The sequence below is a fragment of the Homo sapiens genome, chromosome 17 (assembly GCF_000001405.40).
Source record: "Homo sapiens chromosome 17, GRCh38.p14 Primary Assembly".
In the NCBI taxonomy this organism is placed as follows: domain Eukaryota; kingdom Metazoa; phylum Chordata; class Mammalia; order Primates; family Hominidae; genus Homo; species Homo sapiens.
Genome location: NC_000017.11, coordinates 40,747,808 through 40,766,211, shown reverse-complemented (window position 1 = coordinate 40,766,211; position 18,404 = coordinate 40,747,808). Strand labels below are relative to the sequence as shown.

General features: G+C 38.5%; 1 protein-coding gene across 2 annotated transcripts; it reads left to right on the top strand.

Moving 5' to 3' along the window:
- On the top strand, nucleotides 10,670-18,191 carry KRT25 (keratin 25). Of its 2 annotated transcripts, XM_011524414.2 has the most exons (9): nucleotides 10,670-10,738; nucleotides 10,961-11,369; nucleotides 11,744-11,826; nucleotides 12,196-12,352; nucleotides 14,886-15,047; nucleotides 15,133-15,258; nucleotides 15,615-15,832; nucleotides 16,887-16,954; nucleotides 17,826-18,191. In XM_011524414.2, exons 1-9 carry the CDS (start codon nucleotides 10,725-10,727, stop codon nucleotides 17,933-17,935), a joined length of 1,347 nt encoding a protein of 448 aa, XP_011522716.1. In that variant the 5' UTR covers nucleotides 10,670-10,724; the 3' UTR covers nucleotides 17,936-18,191. The 2 variants fall into 2 exon arrangements, with proteins under 2 accessions (XP_011522716.1, NP_853512.1); NM_181534.4 differs by lacking the exon at nucleotides 10,670-10,738 and having other exon boundaries at nucleotides 10,881-11,369.

The window sequence follows — 18,404 nt, the reverse complement described above, 5'->3', positions numbered from 1 at the left end:
TTTAATTGCTAAAGTTGATCCCAATGTGGCAATACTAAGGACCTGCTAATAAAATAATGTGTTTCATTTCATAGTCACAGTTACCTCAATTAATAACAGAATAAGGTGGAAAGAGCACTAGCTCTAATGTCTGGTCCCAAATCTGTCCCTGATTGACTACGTAAATAAGTTGATCTTCTTGGGTTTGAGTGTCTATGGACATAAAAGAAGAAGATAATACCCACTGATCACTAGGATTTGTTTACCCTTACAATGCCTAGCCTGGGTGATCAGCAAATGTTTGTTGTAAAATCTGAACCTGGAAAGCCGTTTTTCCATTTTCCAGCACATGCATCTCTCTGCCTCTACCATGGTAATGACTAAGCAAATTTAGAACTAAAGCCTAGGGGTGGTTCTAAATCTTGCTCATATTCTCCTGCACACAAAATTCTGCCTGACATCCTTACTAAATTATTTTGGAAAGTGCAGCTGGGATTGGAAAGCAGCAAAGTTCTAGGCTAAAGAGGTTTTTTTCATTTGGAGTGGAATGAGGCAGTGACCTCTATAATCACCTGGATTTCCAACTTGCATGGCAAGAACAACATTGAAAGGTTTTAATCAACTGGCATATAGACAATGCAGGATTCAAAATGGCCCATGAAGACTGAACTGCACCATTTCAGGGTGCTAAACCCTCTGAGGTTGCATTTTACAAGTCTCAAATATAGGCTTGGTCACCATTATTTCCTGCTTCCATATAAGGTAGTTGACCTTAGCCTGATGACACTTTCTGGAGATGTAGATACAGCTGAAAATTCCTTTTGTCAGGGTCTTCCTGTGATGAATGGTCCCAACCATGATGACAAAGGCCATATTTCAATGGTATGGAGTTAGATTAAGTCTGGTTAGAAGCACTTTCAATTGCAGAACTATAGTGACAATATCTTACATTTACTGAGTGTGTTTTAACTCACTTTATATACATTATCCAATTTAATTTTCATAAATGCTTATGAGGTAGGTGTTTTATCATCTTTATTTTGTATATGAGGAAAACAGATACTCAGAGATTAAGGAATTTCTCCAGGGCTACACAGCTGATGTGTAGCGGGTCTTAGATGCAAATCCAGCTCTCCTCTGCCATGGTGATTTGAGTTCCATTGAACAGAACAAAAATAAGCATAGGAATTCACTATTTTCACACTAAGTTTCCATTACCACCCAAGAGGGACCACAATCAGGCAGACTTTTATGTGCTTGACTATCAATGATACAATGAAAGCCAGGAGTATGGCTTTCAGTGCAGTGGCCTGCTTGTAACATAAAACAAGCATGCTTGTAGCATGACTACAAATCTCTCAAGTATGTATGCCTACAGTATGCCTACTGCATTCTACAGTGTATAGCATGCCTACAGTATGCCTACAGTATGCTGAAAGATGTCTACATTATGCCTACAGTATATCTACATTATGCCTACAGATACCTACAGCATCCCTACAGAAAGCCTACAGCATGCCTGCAGTATGTGTAGTCTTTTCCTATCTGCTAGTTACCCATCTCCAGCTCCTCTCCCAGCACCTCCCTTTTCTGCCTCCATATTTATTAAGTCCTGGTTACCAGATGCCCCCTCACTTCTGCTACAGTTTCCATCACTATGCTTCATTACTCTCTCATTCTGACAGGTAGGGTCTCTCAGAGGCTCGATACCCCAAGAATTAAAAGAGTAAAACTACATTATCAGCTCTCCAAAGACACTTGCTTAACTCACCACCTTAGAAACACAATGTTGACCCTCTTTCTCTTGTGCCACCAGTACTATTCACTCTTTCTTATTCCCAACAGAGGTCCTATTCTTTCCAAGAACAATTGGGCCAACTTCCATTTTTCTATATCCACTCTTTCTACTTAAATAGATTTCCCTATCTAGATAAGACTGATTTGCACTTAATACAAGCATAACCCATGACTCCAAAATACATGCTGTTGATGAATCAACCATACTTCTTGAAATGAAGGCTGGAAAGTTTACGTACTCAGCTTTGTTTCCAAAAAGTTAGTATTAGCAAAAAAATGAAAAAAGTGAAAGACTGTCACCAACACTTGACAAATCCCAAAAACTTTTATGGGACATCCTTAATTGTGAGCTACCAATTGTGAAACTAAAGACAAGATAAAAAGAAATCCACATGTAGAAAAATCATAGTAAAACCACAAAATAACAAACAAAAGACCTTAAAAATCAGCCATATAGGAAAATAATGATTACTTTCAAATGAGTAACAGTGAGATACACAGTGACTTCTCAACAGCAACAATGGAAGGCAGGAGACAATAGAACAATATCTTCAATATGCTGACGGAAATTCCAAATTGTCATTAAATTTCTAAAAAGTGCTCAACCCCATAGTAACCAGAAAAATAACAAATTAAAACCACATGAAATACTATCACACACCAACCAGATTGGCAGCACTTTTAAAATATTTGCCACAATGTTATGCATTCTATTCTGGAATGGTTTCCAGTTTGAAACTATTATGAATACTACTACTATAAATATCCCTTACATGTTACCTAGTACATGACTGCATGAGTTTCTCTAGGACACAACCCAACAATATGCTATCTACAAGAAATTCACTTCAAACATAGTGACACAGGTAGGTTGAAAGTAAAAGGACAGAAAAAGCTATATCATGCAAACATTAATTTAAAAAATCAGGAGTGGCTGAATTAATACCAAAGTAAACTTTGAAGCAAAGAATGTTACTAGAGACAAAGAGTGATATTATGTAATAATAAAAAGGTCCCTAAGAAGATACAGCAACTCTAAATACACTAAACCACTAAGCTTTCAAATACATGAGGCAAAAACTAACGGAGTAGAAAGGAGAAAGAGACAAATCCAAAATTATAGCTGAAAAATTCAATGCCCAATTCTCAGCAATTGATAGAACTACTGGACAGAAAATTAGTGATGATGAATAGAAGAACTGAACACCATCAAACCACAGAATTTAATTGACATTTATAGAACACTGCACTCAATAAGAGCAGAAAACACATTCTTCTCATGCACCAGTGGAACATAGACCATATCTTAGGTCATATAATAAACCTTGTAAAATTTATAAGAATTGAAATTATACTGAATATGTTCTCTGATCATAATGGAATCAAACCAGAAATTAATAATACAAAGTCAAAAGAAAAATCTCTCAACACTTGGAAATTAAATGACATACTTCTAAATGATCCATGGATCTACATATTTAAAAGATTCATGAAACAGAAAAGACATTAGCAAGATGGTGGAATAGGAGATCCCCCACTCATATCCCCCAAAGGAACAATAATTTCATAATAGTCATCAACAGGCAAAAGTGCCTTTGTAGGAGCCTTGGGATTCAGGTAGGAGTTTATAAAGCTCTGGTAGAGCCCAAGACCTAGGAGTTTCATTTTTACAGGACAGACCCACACCCAGTTGGCACTTACTGATCATGGTCCCATCCCCAGACCTAGAAACTGCCCCATATCCTTGCAAGCTTGGCTACAACCCCATTTTCTCTTGGTCCTGCTACCAAAAACATTTGTCAAAGAGGAATTATGCACACTAGTACATCAGAAGACAGGCCCACCAACCTCTGTCTCAGCTATGCATCCTAAAAATATCCTCTAACTCATCCCCTGCCCCTGTCAGCTACAGCATGAGATTAGTCCTGCTTCCACAGGGACCCAGAGGGAGACATGTCCATCTGAGTCTTCAGGGCAGGCTTGCCAATCTTGGTCCCACAACAGATCCCTAAATAGCTCTAAATTTCAACCCCAGCCCCTCTCAGCTGCAGACTAAGCACTTCTGCCTCGTCAGGGATCTGCTGGGAGACACACCATTCTGTGTCCCCAGGGCAGGCTTGCCAATCTCAATTTTACAGCATCCCTAAAACAAACCTGAATCTGGGCCCTAGCCCTTCTCAGCTGTGGTCAGAGAGAAGTTCTAACTGCCCAGGAATCCAGAGGGAGGCACTCTCATCTGAGCTCCACAGGCAGCCCAGCTGACCTGGGTCCCACAGAAGATCCTGAAATGGCCCTGAAAAGCAGTCCCAGCCCCTCTCAGCTGAGGCTTGAGAGTAGTGCTGCGCACACAAGACCTGGAGACAGACATGCTCATCAGTGCTCCTATAGCCTGACCCACTGATCTTGGTCCTGCTGTGGATCTTGAAATGGCCCTGTAATTCAGCACCAGCCTCTATCAACTGTGGTCTGAGAGCAAGCCTGCCTGCCCGGGGACCCACCAGAAAACATACCCTTCTGTGACCCCAAAGACAGGTCTGAAGAGCTCAGTCTCAGTTACAGGCTCTAAAGCAGCCCCAAAACTCAGTTCTAACTTGTCTCAGCCATGGACTTGAGCAGCACTACATACCCAGGGTCTCACTTAGTGATCCACTGGGAGACTTTCCAGAGACACAGAAGAAGCCACACCCACTCACACACCTGGTAATGGCCCATCATCTACAGATCTTGAAATGGACTCTCATCCCAGTGCCAGCTCTATGGACCAAGGTTCTACAGACAGTCCAGTCAACCCAGAGACTACACAGAATCCACAGCTACTACAGCCCCTGGTAACAGACCTATCAACTATAGACCCCACTGTGGACTCAGCAATAGCCATGTGATCCAGCTCCAACCTCATTTGACCACAATCCCATCACCACAGGAACCTAATAGAAGAAGGCCTTAAACTGCCAAAAGCAGTCTATAAAGATTTAAAGAGGGCCAGGTGTGGTGGCTTTCACCTGTAATCCCAGCACTTTGGGAGGCTGAGGCGGGTGGATGGCTTGAGCTCAGGAGTTCAAGACCAGCCTGGGCAATATGGCAAAACCCCATCTCCACAAAACATATAAAAATTAGCTGAGTATGGTGGCATATGCCTGTCATTCCAGTTACTCAGGAGGCTGAGGTGGAAGGATCACTTGAGCCTGGGAGCCAGAGATTGCAGTGAGCTGAGATCACGCCACTGCACTCCAGCCTGGGTGACAGAGTAAGATCCTGTCTCAAAAAAAAAAAATGAAGGAGGTATTTGTGCCTTCAAATGCACAGATACCAATGCAAGACTACATGAATAATGAAGAATAAGGCAAGCATGACACCACCAAAGGAAACTAATAAGGCTCCAGTAACTGACCCCAAAGAAAGGGAGATCTACAAATTGCCTGAAAGAAAATTCAAAATAATCATCTTAAAGAAGCTCAATAAGATGCAAAAAGACATAGATAAATAACTAAATGAAATTAGGAAAACAATGCATAAACAAGATGAGAAGCTTAATTTTTAAAATAGAAACCATAAAAATAAAACCAGAAATCCTAGACCTGAAGAATACAATGACAAAACTGAAAAATTCAATAGAAAGCTTCAACAGCAGACTCTATCATGCAGAAGAAAGAATTAGCAAACTCAAAGAAAGGGCATTTTAAATTACTGAATTAGAGGAACAAAAATGTTTAAATAATAAAAAAGAGTAAAGAAGGCATACAGGATCTAGTCTATCCCACCAAGCATACAAATATATACATTATGAGGATTTCAGAAGGAGGAAAGAGAGAAAAGGAAAGAAAGCTTATGTAAAGAAATACATCCCAAATCTTGAGAGGGATATGGACATACAGATTCACGAAATTCAAAGGATCCCAAGCAAGATCAACCCAAAGACAAACACTCTGAGGCACATTAATGCATGTGGGGCTTAAAACCTAGATGGCAGGTTGATAGGTGCAGCAAACCACCATGGCACATATATACCTATGTAACAAACCTGCACATTCTGCACATGTATCCCAGAACTTAAAGTAAAATTTTTTAAAAATTGCCAAAAGACAGAGAGAATCTTGAAAGCAGCAAAAGATAAGAGACTGATTACATACAAGGGAACCCCCATGAGGCTATCAACAGACTTCTCAACAGAAACCTTGCAAGTCAGGACAGTAGGATAATATATTCAAAGTGCTGAAAGAAAAAAACCTGCCAACCAAGAATATCATACCCAGAAAAGTCTGGGCTTCATAAATTAAGGAGATATCCCCAAACAAAAGCTGAGGGAGTTCATTGCCTCCCTTACAAGAAATGATAAAGATAGGTCAATTAGTTGAAACAAAGGAACTCTAATTAGCAACATGAAAACATATGAAAGTTAAAAAAACTCACTGTTAAAGGTAAATATACAAATTCAGAATATACTACTGTAATGGTGGTGTACACATCACTTATATCTGGTATAAAGGTTAAAAGACCAAACTATTAAAACTAATTATAAGTACAATAATTTGTTAAGGAATACACAATATAAAGAGATATAAATTGTGACATCAAAAAAATAGATGGAGGGGTAGTAAAACTGTAAAGTTTTTGAATGCAGTTGAAGTTATCAGCCTAAAATAACCTGTTCTAACATGTTCAGTGTAAGTCTCATGATAACCACAAAGCAAAATTCTATAGTAGATACACAAAAGAGAAAGAGAAAGGAATCAAAGCATGCCACTAGAGAAAGTTGTCAAATCACAAAGGCAGACAGCAAGAAAGGAAAAAAGAAACAAAGGATCTACGAAACAACTGGAAAACAACAAAATGGCAGTAGTAAGTCCTTACCTATCAATAATTACCTTGAATATAAATGGATTACATTCTCCAATCAAATGACACAGAATAGCTAAGGGTACTAAAAAGGCAAACACACACACACACATACACAAAATCTGTATGCTGTCTACAAGAGACTCACTTCAGCTTTAAGGACACACATAGACTAAAAGTGAAGGGATGGAAAAAGATATTCCATGCAAATAGAAACAAAAAAGAGCAAAGGTAGCTATATTTATATCAGAGAAAAGTAGACTTTAAGTCAAAAACTATAAAAAGAAAGAAAGTCATTATGTAATGATAAAGAAGACAATTCATCAAGAGGATATAACAATTGTAAATATATATGCACCCAACATCAGAGCACCTAAATATATAAAGCAAACATTAACAGGTATGAAGGGAGCAATAGACAACAATGCAACAATAGTAGGGGACTTCAGTACAACAGTTTCAACAATGGATCAATCATCCAGACAGAAAATTAGTAAGGAAAGATTAGACTTAAACTACACTTTAGACCAAGTGGACCTAACAGATGTATATAGAACATTATATCAAACAAGAGCAGAATACACATTCTTCTCAAGCACACACAGAACAGTCTCCATGATAGATTATATGTTAGGTCACAAACAAGTCTTAACAAACTTCAGATTAAAATTATATCAAGTATTTTTTATCCACAATAGTATGAAATTAGAAATCAATAACAGGAGGAAATTTGGAAAGTTCACAAATATGTGAAAATTAAACAATATGTTCCTGAACAACCAATGGGGCAAAGAAGAAATCGAAAGGGAAATCAAAAAATATCTAGAGACAAATGAAGATGGAAACATATGACAAAATTTATGGGATGTAGCAGAAGCAGTTTTAAGAGAGAAGTTTATAACAATAAATGCCTACATTTAAAAAAAGAAATAACCTACCATTACACATGAAGGAACTAGAAAAAAAGAAGAACAACCTAAGCCCAAAGTTGGTAGAAGGAGAAAATACCAAGGATCAGAAGAGAAATAAGTGAAACTATAAAACATTGATGAAATAAGTTGATGAAGACAAAAATAAATGGAAACATATGCCATGTTCATGGATTGGAAGAATTAATATTGTTAAAATGTTTATATTACCCAAAGTGATATACAGATTCAGTGTGATTCCAATCAAAATTCCAATGACATTTTCACAAAAAGAGAAAAAAACATGAATTCTAAAATTCATATAGAACCACAAAAGATCCTGAATAGACAAAGCAATCTTGAGCAAAAAGAACAGTTGAAGCATCACACTATCTGATCTCAAAATCTACTACAAATCTATAGTAATCAAAACATCACAACACTGGCACAAAAAGTGACATATAGACCAATGACACAGAATAAAGAGCCCAAAAATAAATCTATGCATTTACAGCCAAATGATTTTCAAACAAAGGTGCCAAGAACACAAAATGGGGAAAGAACAGTATTTTTAGTAAATGGTGTTGGGGAAACTATATTTCAGAAAAATGAAATTGGACCTTTATCTCACCCTATATACAAGAATCCACTCAAAATATATTAAACAGGTAAGCATAATACGTGAAACTGTAAAACTACTAGAAGAAAACATAGGGGAAAAACTTCTTGACATTAGTCTGGGCAAAGATTTTTTTATATGACCCCATATACACAGGCAACAAAAGAAAAAATACATAAATGAGATTACATTAAACTAAAAAGCTTCTACATAGCAAATGAAATAATTAACAGAATGAAGAGATAACTCACAGATTGGGAGAAAATATTGTGAAGCACACTTGTGACACAGGACTAATACCCAAAATATATAAGAAACTCAAGCAACTCAACAAAAATAACAAAAACAAATAACCCATTTTAAAAGATATTTCTTAAAAGAAGACATACCAATGGCCAACAGGTATATGGGAAAAAATGCTCAACACTACTAATCATGAATGAAATGCAAATGAAAAACACAATGAGATATCACCTCACACCTGCTAGAATGGCTATTATGAAAATGACAAGAAATAACAAGTGTTAGTAAGAAAGTGGAGAAAGAAAATCCTTGTACACTGTTTGTGTAAATTTAAATTAATACAGCCATTATGGAAAGCAGTATAGTGATTCCTCAAAAAATTAAAAGTAGAACTACCATGTGACCCAACAATCCCACTACTGAGTATTGAAAGGAAACGAAATCAGTATGTCAAGGAGATATCTGCATTCCATGCACATTGTAGCATGATTCACAATAGCCAAGAAAGGGATTCAACCTAAGCATCCATCAACAAATGAAGTAATAAAGAAAATATAGTATATATACCCAATGGGATACTATTCAGCCTTTAAAAAGGGAAATTCTGTCATTTGTGACAACATGGATGAACCTGTTGGATGAAATGCTATGAACCATACATCTGATCAAGGCTTAATATCCAAAATATATAAGTAATTCAAACAACTCAATAACAAGAAAAGAATGTGATTAAAAAGACATTTGTCAGCCAGGGACAGTGGTTCACGCCTGTAATCCCAGCACTTTGGGAGGCCGAGGTGGGAGGATCACGAGGTCAGGAGATCGAGACCATCCTGGCTAACACAGTGAAACCCCATCTCTACTAAAAATACAAAAAGAAATTAGCCGGGTGTGGTGGCGGATGCCTGTAGTCCCAGCTACTCAGGAGGCTGAGGCAGGAGAATGGCTTGAACCCAGGAGGCGGAGCTTGCAGTGGGCCCAGATCGCACCACTGCACTCCAGCCTTGGCGACAGAGTGAGGCTCCGTCTCAAACAAAAAAAAAAAAGACATTTCTCAAAAGACATACAAATAGCCAATAGGTTTATGAAAAGGTGCTCAACATCACTAATCATCAGGGAAGTGCACTAGGGAAATTTTGGTCAAAGAATACAAAATTTCATTTAGGTGGGAAGAATAAGTTCAGGATAACTATTGTACAATATGGTGACTATAGTTAATAACAATAAGAAAGTAGATTTTAAATGTTCTTACCACAAAATAGGTATGTGAGGTAATAGATATGTTAATTAGCTTGATTTGGTCATTACACAATATATTCATATATCAAAAAATCATGTCGTGCACCATAAATATATACAATTTTTATTTCTCATTTTTTTTTTTTTGAGGCAGAGTCTCATTCTGTCACTCTGGCTGGAGTGCAGTGACACAATCTTAGCTCACTGTAACCTCTGCCTCCCAGGTTCAATTGATTCTCTTGCCTCAGCCTCCCGAGTAGCTGGGATTACAGGCACCTCGCCATGATGCCTGGCTAATTTTTGTATTTTTAGTAGAGATGGGGTTTCACCATGTTGGTGAGGCTGGTCTCAAATGCCTGACCTCAAGTGATCCACCTGCCTCAGCCTCCCAAAGTGCTAGGATTACAGGCGTAAGCCACTGTGCCTGGCCTTATTTGTCAATTTTTTATATTTCCATAATAGGTAGAGTTTTCAGTAAATATATGTGAATTCCCACCGACTAAATACCTTACTGATGACTTTCATCTGAGCTAAACCACAATAAATTAAGACAGAAAAAATAGTTCCTACCAGGTTTGCTTCAGATTTTGCAGGGTCAGGAAATAAGTTAATGTCTTTCCAAACTCCCACAAAACATAACACCAATTAGGGGTGTGCTCCTAATTACCAAAATGGATAAGGTAAGACAACTCTCCTCAGTCATAAGTGTCAACAGAATATGATGCTCATGTCAGCCAGAATGGAAGTTAACTTCCCATGGGAAAGAGTGGCAAGAGGAATTTAAAAATAAAAACAAAAACCTATTGGTTGAAGAACCAGGTTGGGGAAATGATTACAGTTCTATTCTCTACTTATGTGGAAAAACTTGTGAAAATAAAAGCAGAAAAAGCCTCAGAAACATCACAATCTGCCTTGGCATAATAGCCCAAAACCATGATGCTAAATTTCTATCCTGTAATGAGCTGATGAGGTTTACTTCCAAGGATGGAAGTGAAGAATGACTCACTCAGCATTTAAAAACGTAATAATGAACCTGACATTGCTCCACCCAGACCCATTTCTCAGATAACCACCAACCTGAGGGCAACTGCCCTCCTACAGGAATGAGCCCAGCAAAGTGAGTTACTAATTAGAAAAAATCACCCAATTATGCCAACTTGCTGAGACTGGCAAGCCATGTTTTACTCTGTGTAGGCAGAATTTCATTCAGAACACACTTGGGACTTGCCTATAAAAAGGCAAACCAAACCTTTTAGACAAGAAGGCACTCCATTCTGGCTTTCACAAATACAGCTCTGCAACGCGTTTGCCCTGATACCATGTCTCTTCGACTTTCCAGTGCATCCAGGAGGTCCTGTCCTCGTCCCACCACTGGATCACTCAGACTCTATGGTGGGGGAACCAGCTTTGGTACTGGAAATTCTTGTGGCATTTCAGGGATTGGAAGTGGCTTCTCTAGTGCCTTCGGAGGCAGCTCATCGGGAGGAAACACAGGGGGAGGTAATCCCTGTGCTGGCTTCACTGTGAATGAGCGGGGGCTCCTTTCTGGCAATGAGAAGGTGACCATGCAGAACCTCAATGACCGCCTGGCATCCTACCTGGACAGTGTGCATGCTCTGGAGGAGGCCAACGCTGACCTGGAGCAGAAGATCAAGGGCTGGTATGAGAAATTTGGGCCTGGCTCTTGCCGTGGTCTTGATCATGACTATAGCAGATATTTCCCAATAATTGATGACCTTAAAAATCAGGTAAGAAATCATACTGCACAATCATTTTCATGTACCTTTATTTCTAAATTTTGTTTTCCTTTCTTTATTAAATTCTAAAAACATTTATCATTCCTACTTGTGATTTTTTTTTTTTTTTTTTTTTGAGAAGGAGTTTTGCTCTTGTTGCCCAGGCTGGAGTGCAACCGTGGGATCTTGGCTCACTGCAACCTCCACCTCCTGGGTTCAAGAGATTCTCCTGCCTCAGCCTCCCAAGTAGCTGGGATTACAGGTGCCTGCCACCATGCCCTCCTACTTGTGATTTCTTAAAGAGAATTCCAATTTAGCATTAGAAATAAGCATTAAGTAGATTCAGTTGGTTTACTTCATGATAAAAGTCAAATTCCCATTTCTAGATCATCGCATCCACCACCAGCAATGCTAATGCTGTTCTGCAGATCGATAATGCCAGGCTTACAGCTGATGATTTCAGACTCAAGTAAGTAGACTGCCAGAGTGAAATGAATTCATGGCAATTCATGCAACGCATTACATCAAATTTAGCAACTCTTATTCCAAAATTATAAAACACTTGAATTTCACATAAACAGGATGTTATTACTTTTTTATGCTTTGACTATTAAATACAAAGCATGAACTGCTATTAAAACTAGCGCCCAATACCCTAGTTCTTTTTCTGTCAAATACTGCAAAGTAGAAACAATAATTATTATACAACAAGCTTTGAAAATGCCTCTTGTGGCCAAATCTTCAAAATTCCAGAATGCTAGCATTTGTCATTGATCAGTGACTAGTGACTATGTCTCCAACCATGTGACAAATTAGGAAATCATTAACACTCTTTAAGGTATGAAAATGAGCTGGCTCTTCACCAGAGTGTAGAGGCTGATGTCAATGGGTTACGAAGAGTTTTGGATGAAATAACCCTGTGCAGAACAGATCTGGAGATTCAGTATGAAACCCTGAGTGAGGAGATGACTTACCTCAAAAAGAACCATAAAGAGGTAAGAGCTGGTCGTCTACATTTTGCTATCCCTCCGCAGACACTGTGCACCTGACAGGAGATAATGTACATAACCTCTCATATAAAAAGTTGGTGCTGAAGACACATTGTCAGACAGACATGAGGGCTGAGCTGTCTTTTTTTTTTTTTTTTTTTTTTTTTTTTTTTTTTTTTTTTGAGACGGAGTCTCGCTCTGCCGTCCAGGCTGAAGTGCAATGGTGCGATCTTGGCTCACTGCAAGCTCCGCCTCCTGGGTTCACGGCATTCTCCTGCCTCAGCCTCCCGAGTAGCTGGGACTACAGGCGCCCGGCTAATTTTATGTATTTTTAGTAGAGACGGGGTTTCACTGTGTAAGCCAGGATGGTCTCGATCTCCTGACCTCGTGATCCACCTGCCTCAGCCTCCCAAAGTGCTGGGATTACAGGCGTGAGCCACCGCACCCGGCCTGAGCTGTCTTTTTAAGTGTCAGATTCTTTGTACAGATTCACCCTTGCTCTCTCATCAAGTTTCCTATGGGGAAAAAAAAAAACGAATCATGTTTTCCAGACCAATCAGGGTTATAAGAGCAGTGTTTGGCTGTGTAATTATAACTAAGTTAAAATGATCCGCTTTGGACATTAAGTCTAATTAGATAAAATAAATATAAAATAAATATACTTTAAGGCCATCCTTAAACTAGAAAACTAGATCTCAATTTCTAAATGACAGTGGCAGATTTAAAACACTAAAACATTTACTTCATACACACATTAAGTATACATACTTAACGCTAGTACATATTCTTAATAGGTCTGGCTGTAAAAATAATGAGCATGAAGTTAAACTATTATACCAGAATTTACACTTAATCATAAACTTCCAAAGTGGTCACTGTTGGAAGCTAAGTTCCAAATTTTATATTGCAGCAATTACATCTTTAGGATTGCTTTCAGAGGCACTGTTTTCCAAAAGGGAAAAATCTTTATCCTTTGAAAATAAATTTGATATTTTAAATAGCCAAAAGACTTCTATGGTCAAGCCAAATGCTTAAAACAGAAGATCAAGCTAAGAATCCTACTTGATTAGTCATGAGGCTGTCTTATAAATATAACTACTTGAATAACATTGATTTGACTACGTGGATTCAAATATAGTTACAGCCCATGGTGTTTAATCAATTTTTGATGAATCAAAAGCAATTGATTTTTGTAATGCCTCATTTACAGGCAACCCTAGATATAGATATAGATATAGATATATAGATATAGATGATATACATATATCTTTTTTTATCTTTTTCTTTTTATGCTTGAACCAGGAAGTTTTCACTAAATCCTCAGAAGTAAAAGCCACATCTGTAGATCAGGAAGACATAGTTTCAACCAGGAGGAAAGAAGGCTGGAATGGCTGAGGGGCTCGCTGCAGGGAGGAATGAAAGCCTTAGTTACCATCATTAAGACCAATTCATGAATGGGGAGGAGAGTTTCTGCAGCAGACATAAGCTGATGGGTGGTATTCCAATATACACAGTCTTCGCAGCGATGCCTACCATTCACAATCTTAGAACTGACTCACACATTCTAACAGCTTGCAGTTCAGACAGGGTAACATGTAGACTTTGACTGCAAAATAAATTCCAGCTTCCATGATGATAATAATCATAATAACCAGCATTCATTTAGCATTTATGTGCAAGGCAGTATCACGGAGTCTTATTATTATTATTAGTTCTTTGACTTCTTTTAACAACTCAGAGAAGGGTTTTTAATTATCCTCAATTTTCAGATAAGCAAATAGAAACGTAAAAAGGTTAAGCAACTTTCCCAAACTCACTAGCCACTATAGGGCAGAACCAAAATTCAGAGAGATCTGCGTGACTCCAAAGTCCAACATGATACTGTAATGTCCCTGTATAGACTTAATAGACAGCTGGGATTCTTTAGGGGATGATGTTCTTCCCTGAGGGGTACACACACACACACACACACACACACACACGCACGCACACACACACACACACACATACATTTATTTATTTATCATCATTTCAATTGTTCAGAATTATTCATACTCAACCCTTCAACCATGTTCATGGCTGTGCTCAGGGTGTAGCTGAGTTAACACTGCACCAAAGCTGGCCTCTAGTGGAAGGAAGACCAGTCCACAAAGGCCGAGAATAGAATAAGCGATGGAGGACCATTCATTTTAAATGTTTAAAACTTTCATATGGAAAAGGAATTAAGATGCATTCTGAGTAGTAGAACTGAAACTGATGAGTTTAAGTTATAAGAGCAGGAGTTTGGCTCACTATAATAAAGAACTCTGGAACAATTAAAACTCTCCCAGAATGAAACAGGCTACTTCATAAGGTAGTGAGTTCACCGTCTTTGAGAATTAGGTCAACGGGACAGGAAGTATCAAATGTGGTGGGAGGGGGTCAATGCACAGCCTGGGAGGGGAAAACCAGACGAACTCTAAGTGCCCTTCCAAAGCTAAGCTTCTAGACTTTCCATGAGATTCCTGCAGAGCTGAGCAGAACACTTTTCTGCCTCTAGGAAATGCAAGTTCTGCAGTGCGCAGCTGGAGGCAACGTGAACGTGGAGATGAACGCAGCCCCCGGGGTGGACCTCACAGTTCTGCTGAACAACATGCGAGCTGAGTACGAAGCCCTTGCAGAGCAGAACCGCAGGGACGCGGAGGCCTGGTTCAACGAGAAGGTGACTCTCCTCCAGAAAACGGTCCCTTTGCATGTTACTGGTATTCACAAAACTAAGATTTGCTCCTTCACTTATGTCATTTCAGAGCGCCTCCCTGCAGCAGCAGATCTCTGAGGATGTCGGAGCCACAACCTCAGCCCGGAATGAGCTGACTGAAATGAAGCGCACTCTTCAAACCCTGGAAATTGAACTTCAGTCTCTCCTAGCCACGGTATGAAAAGAACAATTTTTTTTCACCATCTCCCAGGTCATCATGTTAGATACTTGCCAGCTGGTTTTAAAAACCTTAACAATATTGAAATATATTTGTTTATAATTGTCTCAAAACATAAGGAAAGAATAGGATTGTATAGCTGACACCTAAAACTACACGAATGTCTTTAGGTTTATTCTACTAAAAAGAAGGATTTGCTCATTTTCAAGCAGTATCACAGAGTCTTAACTATGTGTCCATGTGAAATCTGAAACAATTATATGTAAAGTTAACAGCAGGAGAAAATCATGTATCAAAGAAATCCCTGCATATCTGCATATCCATTTCAAGTTCTCTTTATTGCTTCCTGACAGAAACACTCCCTGGAGTGCTCCTTGACAGAGACCGAGAGCAACTACTGTGCGCAGCTGGCGCAGATCCAGGCTCAGATCGGGGCCCTGGAGGAGCAGCTGCACCAGGTCAGAACCGAGACCGAGGGCCAGAAGCTGGAGTATGAGCAGCTCCTGGACATCAAGCTCCACCTGGAAAAAGAAATTGAGACCTACTGTCTCCTTATAGGAGGAGATGATGGGTAGGTAAAATAATCTGCATAGATGGCGTAATATACTGAAATCTGCTTGCAACTTAGATCCCACTTTCCACTGGAAAGCGGACATAATTTGGCTGCATGCATTTATTATCATGAATACTAAATATTAAATATAATACATACTCAACTGCCAAAATACAAATTAATATCTTAAACCAATATGCAGCAGGCACCGAGTTCAAGATATGAACATTGAAAATATCACTTCTAGAGTGAAAAGAACAAACGGGAGGCTAAATGGAGTTTCAATATGTGGACCAGGATTCTGACTCTGGAAATGGTTTCTGGAGCTCAGCACTCACAGAATCCTGTCTTCATAGCACTGATAAAGTCCCATGGCCACAAGTCTGGATGTCTAGAGCTCAGGGTTGTTAGGAGCAGGAAGCTTCCTGAATTCACAATGAAGATCATTTTCATCACCCCAGAAAGTTCTTCTGTGCCCCACTTCCCTTGGCAGTTATTATTTTATCCATTCTTGATGTTAATATAAAAGGAATCATACAGAAAAAAAAATCACTTCTTAATGCTGAAGCAGAACAAAAACATTACAGTCTCAGAGAAAACCCCACTTAGGAAAAGTATCTTGTAATTGCCTAACTGCTGAAGCGATCTACACCACTCTTCCCCACCTATCATCAAACCCTCCCTCATTGACTAGAGTGATGCTTCCAAATGTAAATCCTTACACAGCTATATAAATTTGTCACAATTCATAAACCTGCAAAACTTAAAAGGGTGAATTTCAACCTAAGTTGTATAAATACACCCAGTGGCATGCTAGAACTGCTGTTACCATCTCATGACAGCCTCTTCTGCCTATCTCTTCTCTTCCTAACCCCTCACTTAGTGATGTCACTTGGTGACTTGATATCAGCAATGGAGAAGGTATTCATACCTCTACAGAAATCAGCAAACACTATAAATCAAATACTGGGTTACACAGTTGAAACTACCAAAGAGCTAAAGAAAACCATATGGTGATCCTAGAATTGATGGGGTTCTCTCTAAATCACCCTCTTTTGCGATGTTTTCACAGAGCCTGTAAGTCTGGGGGTTACAAGTCTAAAGATTATGGATCTGGAAATGTGGGAAGTCAAGTCAAAGGTAATTAAAATGAAATCTGTTGTGCAATGCTAATTTTTTATTTTTTAACTTTTAATTTAGGTTTGGGGGTACATTGGAAGGTTTGTTACATAGGTAAACACGTGTCACGGAGGTTTGTTGTGCATATTATTTGATCATCCAGGAATTAAGCCCGGTACCCAATAGTTATCTTCTCTGCTCTTCTTCCTCCTCCCACCCTTCCCCCTCAAGTAGAACCCAGTATCTGTTGTTTCCTTCTTTGTGTTCATAAGTCCTTATCATTTATCTCCCACTTATAAGTGAGAACATGTGGTGTTTGGTTTTCTGTTCCTGCGTTAGCTTGCTAAGGATGATAGCCTCCAGCTCCATCCATGTTCCTGTAAAAGACATGATCTTGTTCTTTTTCATGGCTGCATAATATTCCATGGTGTTTATGGCTTTATCCAGTCTGTCACTGATGGGCATTTAGGTTGATTTCTTGTTCTTGCTATTGTGAATAATGCTGCAATGAACATTCACATGCATGTGTCTTTATGGTAGAATGTTTTCTATTCCTCTGGGTATATATACCCAACTACTTCATTTTTAATGCATAGCTTGATTGTTCTTATATTACCATGGCTTGGTAAGAATACATACAATAAAGATTTGTAGTAGATATCCATATGTGCTAGATGTCTAATATTAGTGATTTGTGCTAATTTTAAACAAAATAACATGTCACCATGTTTTTTCTAACCAAATAATCAAAATTATTCACCAAAAATGAGTCTAAGTATTTGTGCTTAGTGCAAAGTTCATTCTGTATGCAAATCCTATTATTCCTTTAAATGATATAATTTTTATTCTTTTTTTAACTACATAAAATCTCCTTTTAATTTTTAATGCTCAGACCCAGCCAAAGCCATAGTGGTTAAGAAAGTTCTTGAGGAGGTAGACCAACGCAGCAAAATACTTACCACCAGGCTCCACTCCCTGGAAGAGAAATCTCAAAGCAATTAATTTGAGATGCAACAGAGAACGTATGCCACATAGCCCCTGCGAAGAAAAGGCATTATGTATCTGTCCAGAAAAATGTGCATGTCTAAGAAAAATGTCTAACCTGTTGTCTTTCTGTTACTTTCTTTCTGGGCAATCAATGACAGCATCTCCCCATTCATCTAGAAGAATGCCACACACAAATATGACTCATTTGATTATCCTACAGAAATCTGTTGTCAATTCTTTGTATTCAATAAACCTCTTCTTTAGCAAGTTATCATTGGTGATACTGTCTTTAGAATGTTTATGTGTGCAATATAAATATGTGAACATCTAACAGCTTTTATTATATAAAAACTCTTTCAAAATAATAGATTTCCTCATAGGTTTTCATAAGGCTTACCCTATAATTCAAACTGAAACAAATTCAGAAAGAATAAAAGTACTTTTATTTAAATCCCCAATCTGCCATATTTTGACATACTAAGAA